The sequence below is a fragment of the Homo sapiens genome, chromosome 16, assembly GCF_000001405.40.
Source record: "Homo sapiens chromosome 16, GRCh38.p14 Primary Assembly".
Classification (NCBI taxonomy): domain Eukaryota; kingdom Metazoa; phylum Chordata; class Mammalia; order Primates; family Hominidae; genus Homo; species Homo sapiens.
The window spans coordinates 23,108,279-23,122,405 of NC_000016.10; the positions used below are offsets into that span (position 1 = coordinate 23,108,279).

The 14,127-nt window shown below is 40.2% G+C and overlaps 1 protein-coding gene across 5 annotated transcripts in view; it reads right to left on the reverse strand.

Annotated features, from left to right (window-relative positions):
- The window catches only part of USP31 (ubiquitin specific peptidase 31), an 88,047-nt gene that overhangs the window by 46,873 nt on the left and 27,047 nt on the right, over nt 1-14,127 (reverse strand). Inside the window, exon 1 of one of the 5 annotated variants that reach the window (XM_017023497.3) lies at nt 433-7,474. The exons of the other annotated variants lie outside the window; for them this stretch is intronic. The gene's annotated coding sequence lies outside the window, so the exon portion shown is untranslated. Of the gene's footprint in view, nt 1-432; nt 7,475-14,127 lie in introns of those variants that run through there. 5 annotated transcript variants of the gene reach the window in all.

Genomic DNA, 14,127 nt, shown 5'->3' on the forward strand with positions numbered 1-14,127 from the left:
AGGGTGTTAGAGAATACTTCCCAGAAGGAGTGCAAAGTAAAAACAGATGCCAGTGTAAAAACCTCACCCCTAGAAACATGTACCAGAACCCTTAAAATACACTTAATCCAGCAATCTTACTTTTAGGAGTGTATCTAAAGACATCATCAGAACAGCCTGTCAAGACTTCTAAGAAAATATTAATCAAGGTTTATAAAAGCAAATAATTGGTAATAACTTGGACATCTTAAAAAAGAGAATTGGTTAAGAGTAGGAGGAGATGAAACAGTAAAAACAGTTAAATTATGATACAACTACATGACATCCTTAAGAAATACTATATAAGTGAAAAAAGGTTATAAATAAGTAGTGTGAAATGTGAATGTATTCTTGTAAAAATCATTTAGGGGGGTGTAGACATATACATACAAAGAAAAAGTTCTAAACACATACCTACATATTAAGTATTATCTCTGGGTGATAGAATAACAGGTGCTTTTTTTCCTTCTCACTTTTCATATTTTCTACAATGAATACATGTTACATAACAAAGCAGTTAAAAGTTTTGTTTCAAACTTTACAAGATTGATTTACATTGCTTTTGCTAAAATGCTAAACTTTTATTATGTAAGATACATAACAACTTCAAGATTCATCACTCATCAACAAAGACTTAATAAGTGTCTAAGATACTAACAGCCTAGTGAGGGGGACAGGGAGAAAGTCCACGCTTACAGTGTAGCTAATGGGATGGTGGTGATGGATGCCAAGTTTCTCATAGTCAGAGAGGGAAGTTACAGATAAGCAAGGAGGGAAGGCAATGAATCAGCTGAAGTTGGTATAAACTCCTATTTTCTTAACATAGAGATGAACAGATAAATAATTACAGATATTTATATAAACTTGGGTTCACATCCATATATCTGTACACTGAAAGGCGAAGAAGTAGTGACACCCCAGTAACAACGTGCACATCCAGTGCCCATATCTTGGTTTCTAATACCATTTTCCAATATAAAACTAGGGCTCCTTGGAGAAATGGCCCTTTCGAGGACACTGGGACACGGGACATGTCAAAGGGACACAGGAACCAATCTAAAAGAACTCCCAACAGCCAAAGCTGGAACAATCTGATCAACAGAATAAACAATATTGAGTTATAACCCAAAGTATAAAAAAGTATAAATTGATATAATTAAATGACTGAATGAACAAATAGGGAGAAGAGGCAAATCTTCCTTACAGAGGAATTCCAAATAATTTATATCAATAATCCCCCCTCCAGGAGGTAGAGCTTACCACCCCTACACCTTGAATGTGGCTTGTGATAGTGACTTACTTCCAAAGACAGGAGAATGGAAAGAGGAGTAGAAAGTAACTTATAGTTACTAACAAAGTAACTAACACTACTTCAGAGAGCTGAGCAAGGTTGACATCACCAGTGGTAAGTCAGGTTGCTAGCATGTGCACTTGATATGTGATGAAAAGAACATTTAACCTCTGGTCTTCCTCCCAAAAACCCATGGCCTCAGTCTAATCATAAGGAAAACATCAGACAAAACCCAAACTGAGGGACATTCTACCAAAAAAAAAAAAAAAAAAAATGTGACTGGTACTTCTCAAAACTATCAAGGTCAAGGATAAGAAAAGTCTGAGAAACAATAACAGACCAGAAGAGACTAAGATGATGTGACGACTAAATGCAATGTGTTATCCCATGGGAGCCTGGAACAGAAAAAACGCACAAGAGACTAACTGGGGAAACCTGAATAAAGTATCAAATTTAATCAATAGTAATGTACCAATGTTAGCTTCTTAGTTATAACAAATGCACTACAGTGACATAGGATATTAACAAAAGGGAAACTGAGTTGGGCTTCGTGGAAACTCTATGCTACCTTTGCCACTTTTCTGTAAATCTAAAACTATCCTAAAAGTTTATTTAAATACGAATATATATATTTACAAACTTTCTATAAATATAAATATGGCAGTTGTGTATATGTGTATCATGGGAAAAGAATAGAGGCTAATTAAGAAGAGGACGGTGGTGTTAACTAACAGACAAGAAACCCTTCCAGGAGATGTCATTTGAGCTGGGCCTTGAAGATTAAGAGGCAGGGATTCAAGGCTGAGGAAGCAACATGCACAAACAAAGATACAATATGACACCTTCAAGGAAGACCAACAAGGTAGAAATAGGCCTGAAATTCCAGGTCTATTAGACAGAATGGGAGGAGATCAAACAGTAAACAGATTAGGCAGAGTAGGAGGAGATGAAACAGTAAAGTCAGAGGCCAGCTCAGGAAAGATTTTAAAGGCCAGTCAAACATGGCACAGGGAGCCGTAAATGAACTGGTAAATTAAGATCACGGGCTCTGGACCATACAGCCTGAGTTCAGATCTCTGTTGCCCCACTTCCTATTTGTGAGGCCTGGGACTACTCTCCTCCAAAGTAAAATGGATAATAATGACTCAGTGTGATGAATAGATTTTGAGAATGCATGCCAAACATTTCACTTGTAAATGAGATATAACCAGCACTCAAATTTTAGCCATATTATATATGGGAGTAAAGAGAAATCAGGGGGCCGGGCGCAGTGGCTCACACCTGTAATCCCAGCACTTTGGGAGTCCAAGGAGGGTGGATCACGAGGTCAGGAGATCGAGACCATCCTAGTTAACATGGTGAAACCCCGTCTCTACTAAAAATACAAAAAATTAGCCAGGCGTGGTGGTGGGCGCCTGTAGTCCTAGTGACTTGGGAGGCTGAGGCAGGAGAATGGCGTGAACCCGGGAGGCAGCGCTTGCAGTGAGCCAAGATCGTGCCACTGCCCTCCAGCCTGGACGACAGAGCGAGACTCCGTCTCAAAAATAAATAAATAAATAATTAATTAAATAAAAATAAAAAAGACAGAAAGCAGGGGAGGTAACTGTACAATGGGAGAGTAGTTAGGAAACAAACTAAAGAGGCAAGAAATAATGACAGTCTAAGCTAAAGCAGTGAGGACAGAATGGGAAGGCAGATTTGGGAGAGATTTAGGAATTCAAGTGGTAGAATCAATAGGATTTGTGACCTAATGAATGTGGAGAGGGAGGAAGGAGGCATTAATGTCACTCAGGTGTCCTACCTAGATGATGAGCAACTGGTAGTACCCTGCATCAAGACAGAAAATAAAAAAGGAGGAAGTCCAGGAAAGAGTTCGCGGAATGAGTCCCCCCTTTCGAATCCATTGTAGCTGAAGTTCTACAGAAGCTCTGAATGGAAGTTATCTGGTAAACAACTGAAAAATACAGATCTGTGGGCTCACTGCAGGAGTCTATGCTAAGGACAAAGATTTGGAATTCAACAGATGGGGGGTGGTGGTAGAAACCTCAACTAAGGCTGAGAGTGCTCAGACATCATCTATGAGAGACTGAGCCAGAGGACAGAATGCAGAGGTAACCTATATTTAGGTGGGAGGCTCAAAGAAGCCCAAGAAAAAAACCATCAAAGATGTTGTGAGAAAATCAGGAGAATGGTGTCCAAGAGTCAAATGAAGAGAGCTTCATGAAGAAAAGGGTGATCAACAGTGTGAAATGTTGAAGAATGATAAAGGAGGCCAGAGAACTAAAAACTGTCTACTATATTCCAATTAAGACAACGATAACAGAGGTGAAAAGAAGGAACAGATTTGCGATTTGCATCACAATCTGATGATCAGTTTGATCTGAATCAACAAGAAAATATTCATTTATAGATCTTGAGATTCAGATTCGGGAGGAAAAAAACAAAGGGATATCACAGAGAATATGGAGGTGTCACTGACACAACTTACTGAATAAAATGAACAAGGGAGAAGGATCCTGATAGCAACAAAGTTTCAAATACCTGGAAGGGACCACTGGATGCCATCTCAGAAACAGGTACACAAGGAGGAACAGGCATGATGGGAAGTCTTCATCATGGTACAAAACCTCCCCACTAAATCACCAAATTCAAGTGCTTTTTTCTCAGTCTTCATGTCTATCTCCCTTTAGCATTATATATATATAAACGGCCCGGACATGGTGGCTCACGCCTGTAATCCCAGCACTTAGGGAGGCTGAGACAGGTGGATCACGTGAGGTCAAGAGTTCAAAACCAGCCTGACCAACATGGTGAAACTCCGTCTCCACTAACACAAAATTAGTCAGGCGTGGTGACACATGCCTGTAATCCCAGCTACTTGGGAGGCTGAGGCAGGAGAAATGCTTGAACCCGGGAGGCAGAGGTTGCAGTGAGCTGAGAACGCGCCATTGCACTCCAGCTTGGACGAGAAGAGTGAAACTCCATCTCAATAAAAGGAATAATAATTTAAAAAAAAAAATCTTATTCCATCTTGAAATGGTTTGGCTTATGGCCTTATGTTCCCCTCATTTAGAAGAATCAAAACCAAAGGCATTAGTATGTATAATGGAAGAATGTGACCTACAGAAGAGAAGATTTCCTAATTTTAAAAAAATGAATAGGCGGGTGTGGTGGCTCACACCTGCGATCCCAGCACTTTGGGAGGTTGAGGTGGGCGGATCACCTGAGGTCGGGAGTTCAAGACCAGCCTGACCAACATGGAGAAATCCCGTCTCTACTAAAAACACAAAATTAGCCGGGCACGGTGGTGCATGTCTGTAGTCCCAGCTACTCGAGAGGCTGAGGCAGGAGAATCGCTTGAACCTGGGAGGTGGAGGTTGCAGTGAGCCGAGATCATGCCATTGCACTCCAGCCTGGGCAACAAGAGCGAAACTCCGTCCCAAAAAAAAAAAAGAATTAATAAAAAAAACATCATTAGCACTAATGAAACCTTGGTTGACTCGGGATGGAAGACAAACATGTAGGTGTCACTATACTGACGGATCGAAAGAGGAAAGCAGATGACACCAAGGTCTCCCATTTCTGACTTAGGTAGATAATGAACCAGGAATAGAGGAAGAGATTAGGGGACCACAGTTTTGAACAAGTTGCATTTGAGGTATCAACATGATCCCAAGTGAGGTTAAATCTGGTGCTCAGGAAAGAGATCCGAGCTGGAAATTTGAATCAGAGCAGCACACACCTATCACATGAGACAGAACCCAGGGAACATATGGTGAGAAGAGGAAGCAGCTGGGACAGAATCTTGAACACTGGAAAAGGTCACGGAAAAGCTGCCCGTGAAGAAGCAAAGAGGTGGCAGCCAGGAGAGAGAGAGTGGCATCATACAAGTGAGGACAGACAAACCTCCATGGAGGCGGAAGCAATAATGAAAACTACCGCAGAAAAGGCAAGTCAGGCAGGCTCTGAGGCAGATCCTCCAGAATAGCAAATTAAGAGGTTGCTTGCTCATATAATCTCAATGAAGCAGAATATTTATCAGAGAGGGTTAAAAGAAACAAGGCAAGGGTTTGAATGACTGCCAGAGATCATTCTTCATCACCAAGGAGCTCAGTTATAACAGAATGGAGGAAAGATGCTGTGACCATCTGGAGGGGACCTTCAGGAGCAGAGGGACCCACAGGCTAAGGGAAGAGCTAACAGAAAGGAGATATCTGAATAAAGATGATTCTTCAGGCTGGGTGCAGTGGCTCACACCTGTAATCCCAGCACTCTGGGAGGCTGAGGCGGGTGGATGACCTGAGGTCAGGAGTTCAATATCAGCCTGGCCAACATGGTGAAACCCCATCTCTACTAAAAATACAGAAGTTAGCTAGGCATGGTGGTAGGCGCCTGTAATCCCAGCTATTTAGGCGACTGAGGCAGGAGAGTTGCTTGAACCTGGGAGGTGGAGATTGCAGTGAGCCAAGATCGCATCACTGCACTCCAGCCTAGGCAACAGAGCAAGACCCTTACTCAAAAAAAAAAAAATGGTGATTCTTTGGTAAGGGGAAAAGGAGAGATTGATTTAAAAGAGGCTGCAGAGGAACTGGCCTTAAACAGAAGGTCGGTAGGAGAGATGGAAGAGAAGGAGGTAAAGATAGTCCTGCATGCAGATAAGCCAGAGACAGGAAGGCAGGGAACCTGGTTTTTTGAGTTTATTTTGTAAAGAAAGTAGAGGACAACTGCCAAGAAGAGCTCTTAGGTGTAACAGGGGTAATGACAATCTCATGGCATAGAGTTGGGCCACACAAACTGTCAGAAGTACAGCAAGCTTCTGTCCTGAATCCTCTCTCTTAACTGACTCCCAATGGGGAAAAAATAGGAAAAAAAAAAAAAAAAAGAAAGTTTCAACATAGACATTCCAAACAAATTAACTGAAATCAAACTCTTCATTGTATTTCAAAGCAGATATTTTATACACAGCATCCATTCAGATTTCAGGGTGGAGACTACGTTCAATTATCAAGACTGCATTAAATTTGTTTACGCTTCTGTCCACGATCACTTCAACTCATCCACACTTATCCACCAACTGCTGTGTTCTAAGGCAGAGTGCCAAGGCTGCTCAACAACATGTTTGTTGGGCACGACCCAACAGGTAACAGAACGTCCACAATACTCGTAACTAGGGCAAAAACCATTCTGGGTCAACCCCACCCTAAATCACTATATCAGACCCTAAAGGAAATTTAAGGAAAAGAAAATCTTAATAACACAAACACAAAAGGTCCTCTTTCTGCCTCTTTTTACCCCTCACAATGGTAACTTATTCCCACTGCAGATACTCCCCAGACAAAACAAAACATAGAAGAATCTAACGGCCAATCCTTTAGTATGTATCACAGAAAAAAGAAAAGCAGTAGGAGTCAAGAATCCTAAGCTCAAGCTCCGGCTCTGCCACAAACCACTGGTTATCAAGAGGCAACTCACTGAACCTGTGATTCGAATCCTGGTTCATCAAATGAGCAGATAAGACCCCTGCATCCCAAATCTTCACCCAAGCCCTTCTCCAAGAGTCCCGGAAAGTGATCTGGTATACGTTTTTGGTCACATCTGATGTTGCTTTGATTTGCCTTTTACGATTTTTTTTCATAATTAAACCTTAGTTTATTTGATGTCCTAAATTAATCTTTCTGTATGTTTGCAGTTTTGAAAAAGTTGATTATCAATGTCCTCTGTAAATAGAAGCATTGCTACAATCTGAGAAATTATTTAAGTATGTCATTTCTATAGAAAATAGAATGTGGGCCAGGTGTGTTGGCTTATGCCTGTGATCTCAGCACGTTGGGAGGCCAAGGCAGGAGGATGGCTTGAGCCCAGTTCAAGACCAACCTGGGCAACATATCGAGACCCTGTCTCTATTTAAAATAAATAAAAAGAAAATAGAAAAGAAAAGAAAAAATAGAACATGCACCTTCTTAAAATTAATCTTACATATTTGTGTCTATTTTACAGAATGTGGGTATAGTGTTTCTGTTTGGAAAAAAATATTAAACTGAGTCTCTTGGTCTCCTGACTTAAATCCTATACATCCTACTATAAACACATTTGACCCCTGCTCCTATTATCCCCTCACTTGGGATGATCCTTAGCATATAGTTACTAAATAATAAAGTAAAAGGCAAAACACTTACCGGGTTTTCAAGTTTCACAAAATTTCTCCTTACCCTTCAAAGAGAGAATGTTTTTATTTTTTTCCCTTAAAGAAAAAAAAAAAAGAGTTGGAAACATGGGTCAGAAAAGAGCCATAAAATTAGACATGAGGGTCTTTCTTCCTGTAGAGCCCTAGTAAAGAGGTCGAAGCATCCCAGGCTCCAGGGAAAAGATACTGACTGATCCAAGACATCCTTCACCTAACCCCAGGAAGAAGAAGAAAAAGCAATGGTCGGTCACTGGTGATTTCCACCCATGGGAAATGGATGTGGCAATACTGGTCTGACATGAATGACTGGAAGTTGGGCTCCTCTTTTGGGAAGAAGGGTAGCTTGCAAGACTCATCAAACCCAATCATTGCCCACTTTCTTTGATTCTATGCCAGAAGAAACACAAAATTTGTTTCCAGTGATCATGGACAAAAACAAAAACAAACAAACAAAAAAAACAGAAGAACTCAGGAAGACAATAGTATTTACATTTTTAGAAAAAGAAATAGATGAAATGCAAACAGCTGGGTGGTATCTAAAAGTGAAATCTGGTTTATGGGCTGCTGCTGGAAATAAAATAATAAGCACTTGTCTTGAGAAAAGTTTCATCTTTTGAATTTTACTTTCAGGACGCCTACTAAGTTGATGAAGAATAATTAGCTAAAACATAAGGGATAAAATTTGTACAAATAGATGAACACTGTAAAAACAGATACGACTCATGAAAAAATGGTAATATAGTGTCCATGCAATAGTATGACATACTAGGACACAGAATAAATAGGGCCTTCTGTGCCCTTCATCCATTCTTCCTCCTTATCTTCTCCTCTGAGGGGAGAGGAGACAAATAAGACTGAGAGGCCCCTAATATTTGCTGGCTGGGGCAAAAGGCCCTTGAAAGGGACCCTAAGGCCTCTAGGCTTTCATATGTACTTCCCCTAGGGCTGGAATGCCCTCCACCACACCCTTCAAACCACTCTCCCTCCTCAGAAAGATAAGCAGGGGACCCTGGTGGGAGAGGAGAAAGAAATGAGGCACAGGGAAAGGGGGCTTCCATCCAGGATGGAAAGACAACCTGATGAGGACAGGAGCAAATGCCACACACATTCCTTGGACTCTGTTCACATTTGGCCACAGAGAAAAGCATGTTATTCCTGGTACAGGTTGAGTATCCCTTATGCAAAATGCTCAGAACCAAAGGTATTTCAGAGTTCATATTTTTTTCGATTTCTAATTATTTGTGTTATACTTACCAGCTGAGTATCCCAAATTTGAAAATTCAAAATCCAAAATGCTCCAATGAGCATTTCTTTTGAGCATAATGTAAGTACTCAGAAAGTTTCAAATTTTGGAGCATTTCAGATTTCAGATTGTCAGATTTAGGATACTCAACCTGTACAGAGCTCCTGATCCTTCCAGGCACAAGGGCCAAGCATAGGATAACTCAAGTATAGGTGTCCATCATATCCATGTTCTCAGGATCCAAACTCAGGAACCAAACAGATTTGCATAGCAAAGAATATCTGCACTGCTATAAGATTAGTGTCAGATTTTAAGCAAATTCATATGTACCACAAAGAGCTGGTGGCAAGGATTCATTGCTGAATAACGACTAGTAAAGTATGCATTCCTCACCCAAAAGAAAAGGCTGTAATAAAGGGGTTGAATAATGGTTACTGCATTTCAAGAAATTATAACTGACTCGTGAAACCACAAAACTAAGGGTTAAAGTATGGTCAAGAGCCAGGATAAAAGGGAGAAATAGTGAAAGGAATATCCTATAAGTGGATTCAGCCAGACAAACAAGGAGCAAAAGTTGTCCCAACAGATTATACAAGTAGCAAGAGAAGACTCCAAGTAAGTACTTACACAATGGTAAAAACTTTCTGCTAGAAACTATGCAGTAGAAAAAGAAAGACTGGATTATGAATACCAGGGTTCAAGTTCTCATTCTACTACGTTTGATTTTTTTCCTTTTCTTTTTTTTTTTGTTGTTGTTGTTGTTCAGATGGAGTCTCTCTCTGTTCTTGTTGTTGTTGAGATGGAGTCTCTCTCTGCCCAGGATGGAGCGCAGTAGTGCAATCTCAGCTCACTGCAACCTCCGCCTCCCGGGTTCAAGCAATTCTTCTGCCTCAGCCTCCAAGTAGCTGGGACTACAGGTGCACGCCACCACGTCCTGCTAATTTTTGTATTTTTAGTAGAGATGGGGTTTCACCATGTTGGCCAGGCTGGTCTCAAACTCCTGACTTCAAGTGATCCTCCCATTTCAGCCTCTCAAAGTGCTGGGATTACAGGTGTCAGTCACTGCACCCGAACTTTCTACCATTTTTTACTTAACATGTGCTTCTCTGAGCCTCAGTCATCTTTTCTGCAAAATGGGAATGGTGATAGGAATGCTTTTCTAAAAGGATTACTGTAAGGCTTTAATGAGATCATAAAAGCATTTTGTAAAGTCTAAAACTCTGTACAGATGCTATTATGTTAGTTTTGAAAAATAGAATAAAAAAAGAAAAGAATCACCCTATGATACTACATAATCCTTAAAAATGCCAAAGATAAAGAAAACGAGAAAATATCTAAAGCATTAGTTCTCAATCCTGGCTGCACATTAGAATTGCCTGGGGAAAGTTAAAAATAAAAACCATGTCCTGGCAGCAGCCCACTGCTAATTTTTTTTTCAAGTGTGACTTATTTTTAATGACTATTTCTAATGTGAAGCCAAGTCTGAGAACGAACACAGCCACACTGGAAAAGCTCCGGAGTTTCACTTCCAAAAGCACCAAAACTTATGGGAGGCTCCTTTGTCATAAGTGCATTATATGACTTCTTACATTACGTTTTATTCATATCTCTAGGACATACCATCTCACATGTATCACTAGACAGTGAACAGGAATAATGTCTTACTCAATATTACTTCCCCAATACCTAGCAAATACAGTGCTTGGTGCAAAGGGTAACAATAACAGTTAATACTTATTGAGTGCTTATACTGTATCAGGCATTACGCTTATTGCTTATAGATGTTATTTTCTATAAAATTCACCCTTAATGGCTGGGTGCAGTGGCTCATGCCTGTAATCCCAGCTACTCTACAGGCTGAGGCAGGAGGATCGCTTGAACCCAGGAGGCGGAGGTTGCAGTCAACTGAGATCGCACCACTGCACTCCAGCCTGGGTGACACTGCAAGGCTCTGTCTCAAAAAAATAATAAAATAAAATAAATAAATTCACCCTTAGGAAATTCCCTATGCTGTATTCTTATTTATAGATGAAAAAACTTAGCCTCAGAGAAAGAAAGTAACTTTTCAAAGTTATCACTCTTCTTTTTTTCTTTTTTTTTTTTTGAGACAGTCTCGCTTTGTCCCCCAGGCTGGAGTGCAGTGGCACAATCTCAGCTCACTGCGACCTCCGCCTCCCGAGTTCAAGCGATTCTTCTGCCTCAGCCTCCCAAGCAGCTGGGATTACAGGCGCATATCACCATGCCCAGCTAATTTTTGTATTTTTTGTAGAGATGGGTTTCACCATGTTGGCCAGGCTGGTCTCAAACTCCTGACCTCAAGTGAGCCGCCTGCCTCAGCCTCCCACGGTGCTGGGATTATAGGCATGAGCCACCGTGCCCGGCCAATTACCACTATTGTTCAACCTCAGCTGATTAAAAAAGCTTTAAAATATTTTTGCCCATAATCCTTCTTCAACAAAGTACCTTAAAATGATTTGTCCCCATATAGGACTCAGCATCATACAGGGCTCAGGTTCTTCATTCTAAATGTCAATTCTCAGTTAGACATAAAGCACGACTGAGCTACAGCTGCACCAACCTTGAGGCTTCAGGGAATTTATCTGCTCTTAAATAACTCCTTGTTTAGCAGTTTTTGTTTTGTTGCAATTTGTATTTCTTCCTATGACTGAAATATGGCCCAGAAACAAAAATGCCGTTTATCTAATTGGCATGTTATTTGAGAAATAAGGAGGAATGCAGATGATGTAGAAAGATCAAGTTGCAGCATGTGAAGAACTATGTCCTGCCCAAGTGTCCCAGGATGCTAGAGAAAGCAAACACACCAGAGACAAAGATCTGGCTTTAGGGAACTCCATCTGTCTTTCATCAGTAATGTAAAGGGGGTGTTCTTCACCTTAAATGCTCAAGCTGCTCTTCTGGTGGAGATTAATTCCACCAATAGTCCATCCTTCCCCGCACAACTTAAGTGGCCAAGACTTGCTGACTCCAAGTTTAGAGTCAGCTCAGGTCACCAAAATGTATTTAACTACCCAATCAACTAACTCAAGTAACTCAAATGTATCTTCTTTTTGGACTCTTTCTCATTTTTCCAACACAATCTACAATTCAAAACTATAGTAAAACAAACCCTTTTTTTAAGGAGGAAGGGGGGAAATTTTGACTTACAATCAACACAAAAAAGCAAACGTCCAGTCCCAATGCAAGTTGGTCATCATACAGGAAGAATGATAATCTGAAAGAGTTAAAGTTAAAACTGAAAAGCCATCTAAATATCTAATAAATTATTATATATTCCTGTCATGAAACATTACAAATGGTTGAGGGTTTAAAAAGCATCAAGTTGTACACTTTAAATATACACAATTTTTATATGTCAATGATATCTCAGGCTGTTTAAAAACAAGAGACAGACCTATGGAGCTTTAAACGAAAGTTTTCCATTTATAGTAACTCTAAACCCAAAGCCCAAACCAACCTCTGGATCTTAACCACTGGGGAAAGAGACAGCAGCCAGCATCAAAGAAAAATTAGAGAGAGAAAAAGAATGTATCCCTACAGCTACATCCAGCGGCCTTTTCAGGCCATCCTGGCTTGCCAGGTGGTGGGAGATGAATGCTTAAACCTAGGAAGAGAAAAAAAGAATGGCAGTGGCAGCTTTCTGAGCAAGTAAAAGAAGGTAGAGGAGGAACATACAGACATACGAACTCAGCACAATGACCCTGCCCACAGCACAAGAGCCAATCAATGTTCTTCGCTGAGTGGTGCTCCTCTCCGAAGTGGAAGTAAAGTGACCTATACATCCCAGGAGGCAGAATAAGGTGGGAAAGGCAAGGACTAGAGGAAAAATGAGATAAGGCCTTGAACTACCCCTAAGCCAAAGATCCATATATTTCTTCTATAAACACACACAGATTATATATACACACACAAGAGGCAAAATCCTCTTGATTTTGAATACACTGACATTTTATTATAAGAGACCTAAAATGTTTTTAACTGAACAGCCGATTTTATAAGGAGATCCAAAATATTCTGGAAATAACCTTGCATTGACTCACTATTCTGCTATTGCATTTTTATAACTGCAATATCACTTAGTAGTAACTAAGGGAGATTATTCATAAGCAGATCCAGCAAGTTTCACTATAAATTATGCATTCACATCGCCATAAACCCAGAGTACTCCCAGTAAATTTTAACTGCCTGAGACGCTTGCAAGTCACAGACCTGCTGTGGCACTCTACACAGCCAACCCTATGGATACTTGACAGGCAAGCCAGGCTGACTCTTAGGCCTCCAATCAATCACAGCCTCCGCCCATTCTTTCAATCCTGGACACAAGAATCAGATCTCCTAAAAACCAACACAGACACCTCCAGCTCATCCTGGCTCCAGTCTTCTCCTAGCAAAGTACAATTTAGAACCTTCCCAGCCTAGGCCTGGCCTGGCCCGGCCCAATCTTTACCAATTCTAGTCAGTTCAGGCCTTGGTCATCTGCCTGTCTTATGTGGATGCTAAATGGATGAGTGTGTGAATATACAGACAGCAAACAAAGAGAAGAGTGTGAAATCAAAATACGGCAATTCCCTAGTATCAAAATGTTACTATCATATAGTAACTTCAAAGAATAGATCAAGCTGTTCTCCCTCACTACTAACCAAAGAAATGCAAATTAAAACAATGAAATGCTATTTTCTACTTAACAACTTAAAGATTTCTTTTTTAATTACAACAGTGGGGTACCACACATTCTTAACAATGCTAGTGGTAAAATCCTTCTGTAAATAAGGTAATAATATGATTTAAGAGCCTTTGAAATAGGTAACTACTGAAAGGAATTTCCTCGTTTTATATAGCCTCAAGAAATAATGAAAAGTGAAAGATTTATGTACAAAATACATTCATTACAACCAGAAGCCATCTACATGTCCAAAAATAGGTTACAGTACCTTCATATAATGATCTGAGAAGTCTTTATGACGAAAATTACTCATAAGACAATACAAAATAAAGATCACATGATGAAAATCTGGATATATGGTTTGATATCAATTATGTTATGCACACACAGGGGAGGGGAAGGCAAGTAAGTCAATTTTATTATTTCAACTTGCATATATTTTCCATGTTTTCTACAAAACTTTAGACACTACTCTTACAGAAATAGATGTTATCTAATATCAAATTTTAGCAAAAGAACCCAGACACAAAAGAATATATACTTATTGCAAACCAAAACCACAATGAGATACCACTTCACGCCTACTCAAATGGCTATAATGAAAAAGACAGACGTTAACAAGTGTTGATGAGGATATGGAAAAACTGGAACCCTCACACAGTGCTCGTGGGAATAAAATGGTATAGCAATGTTGGAAAAGTGCCTGACGG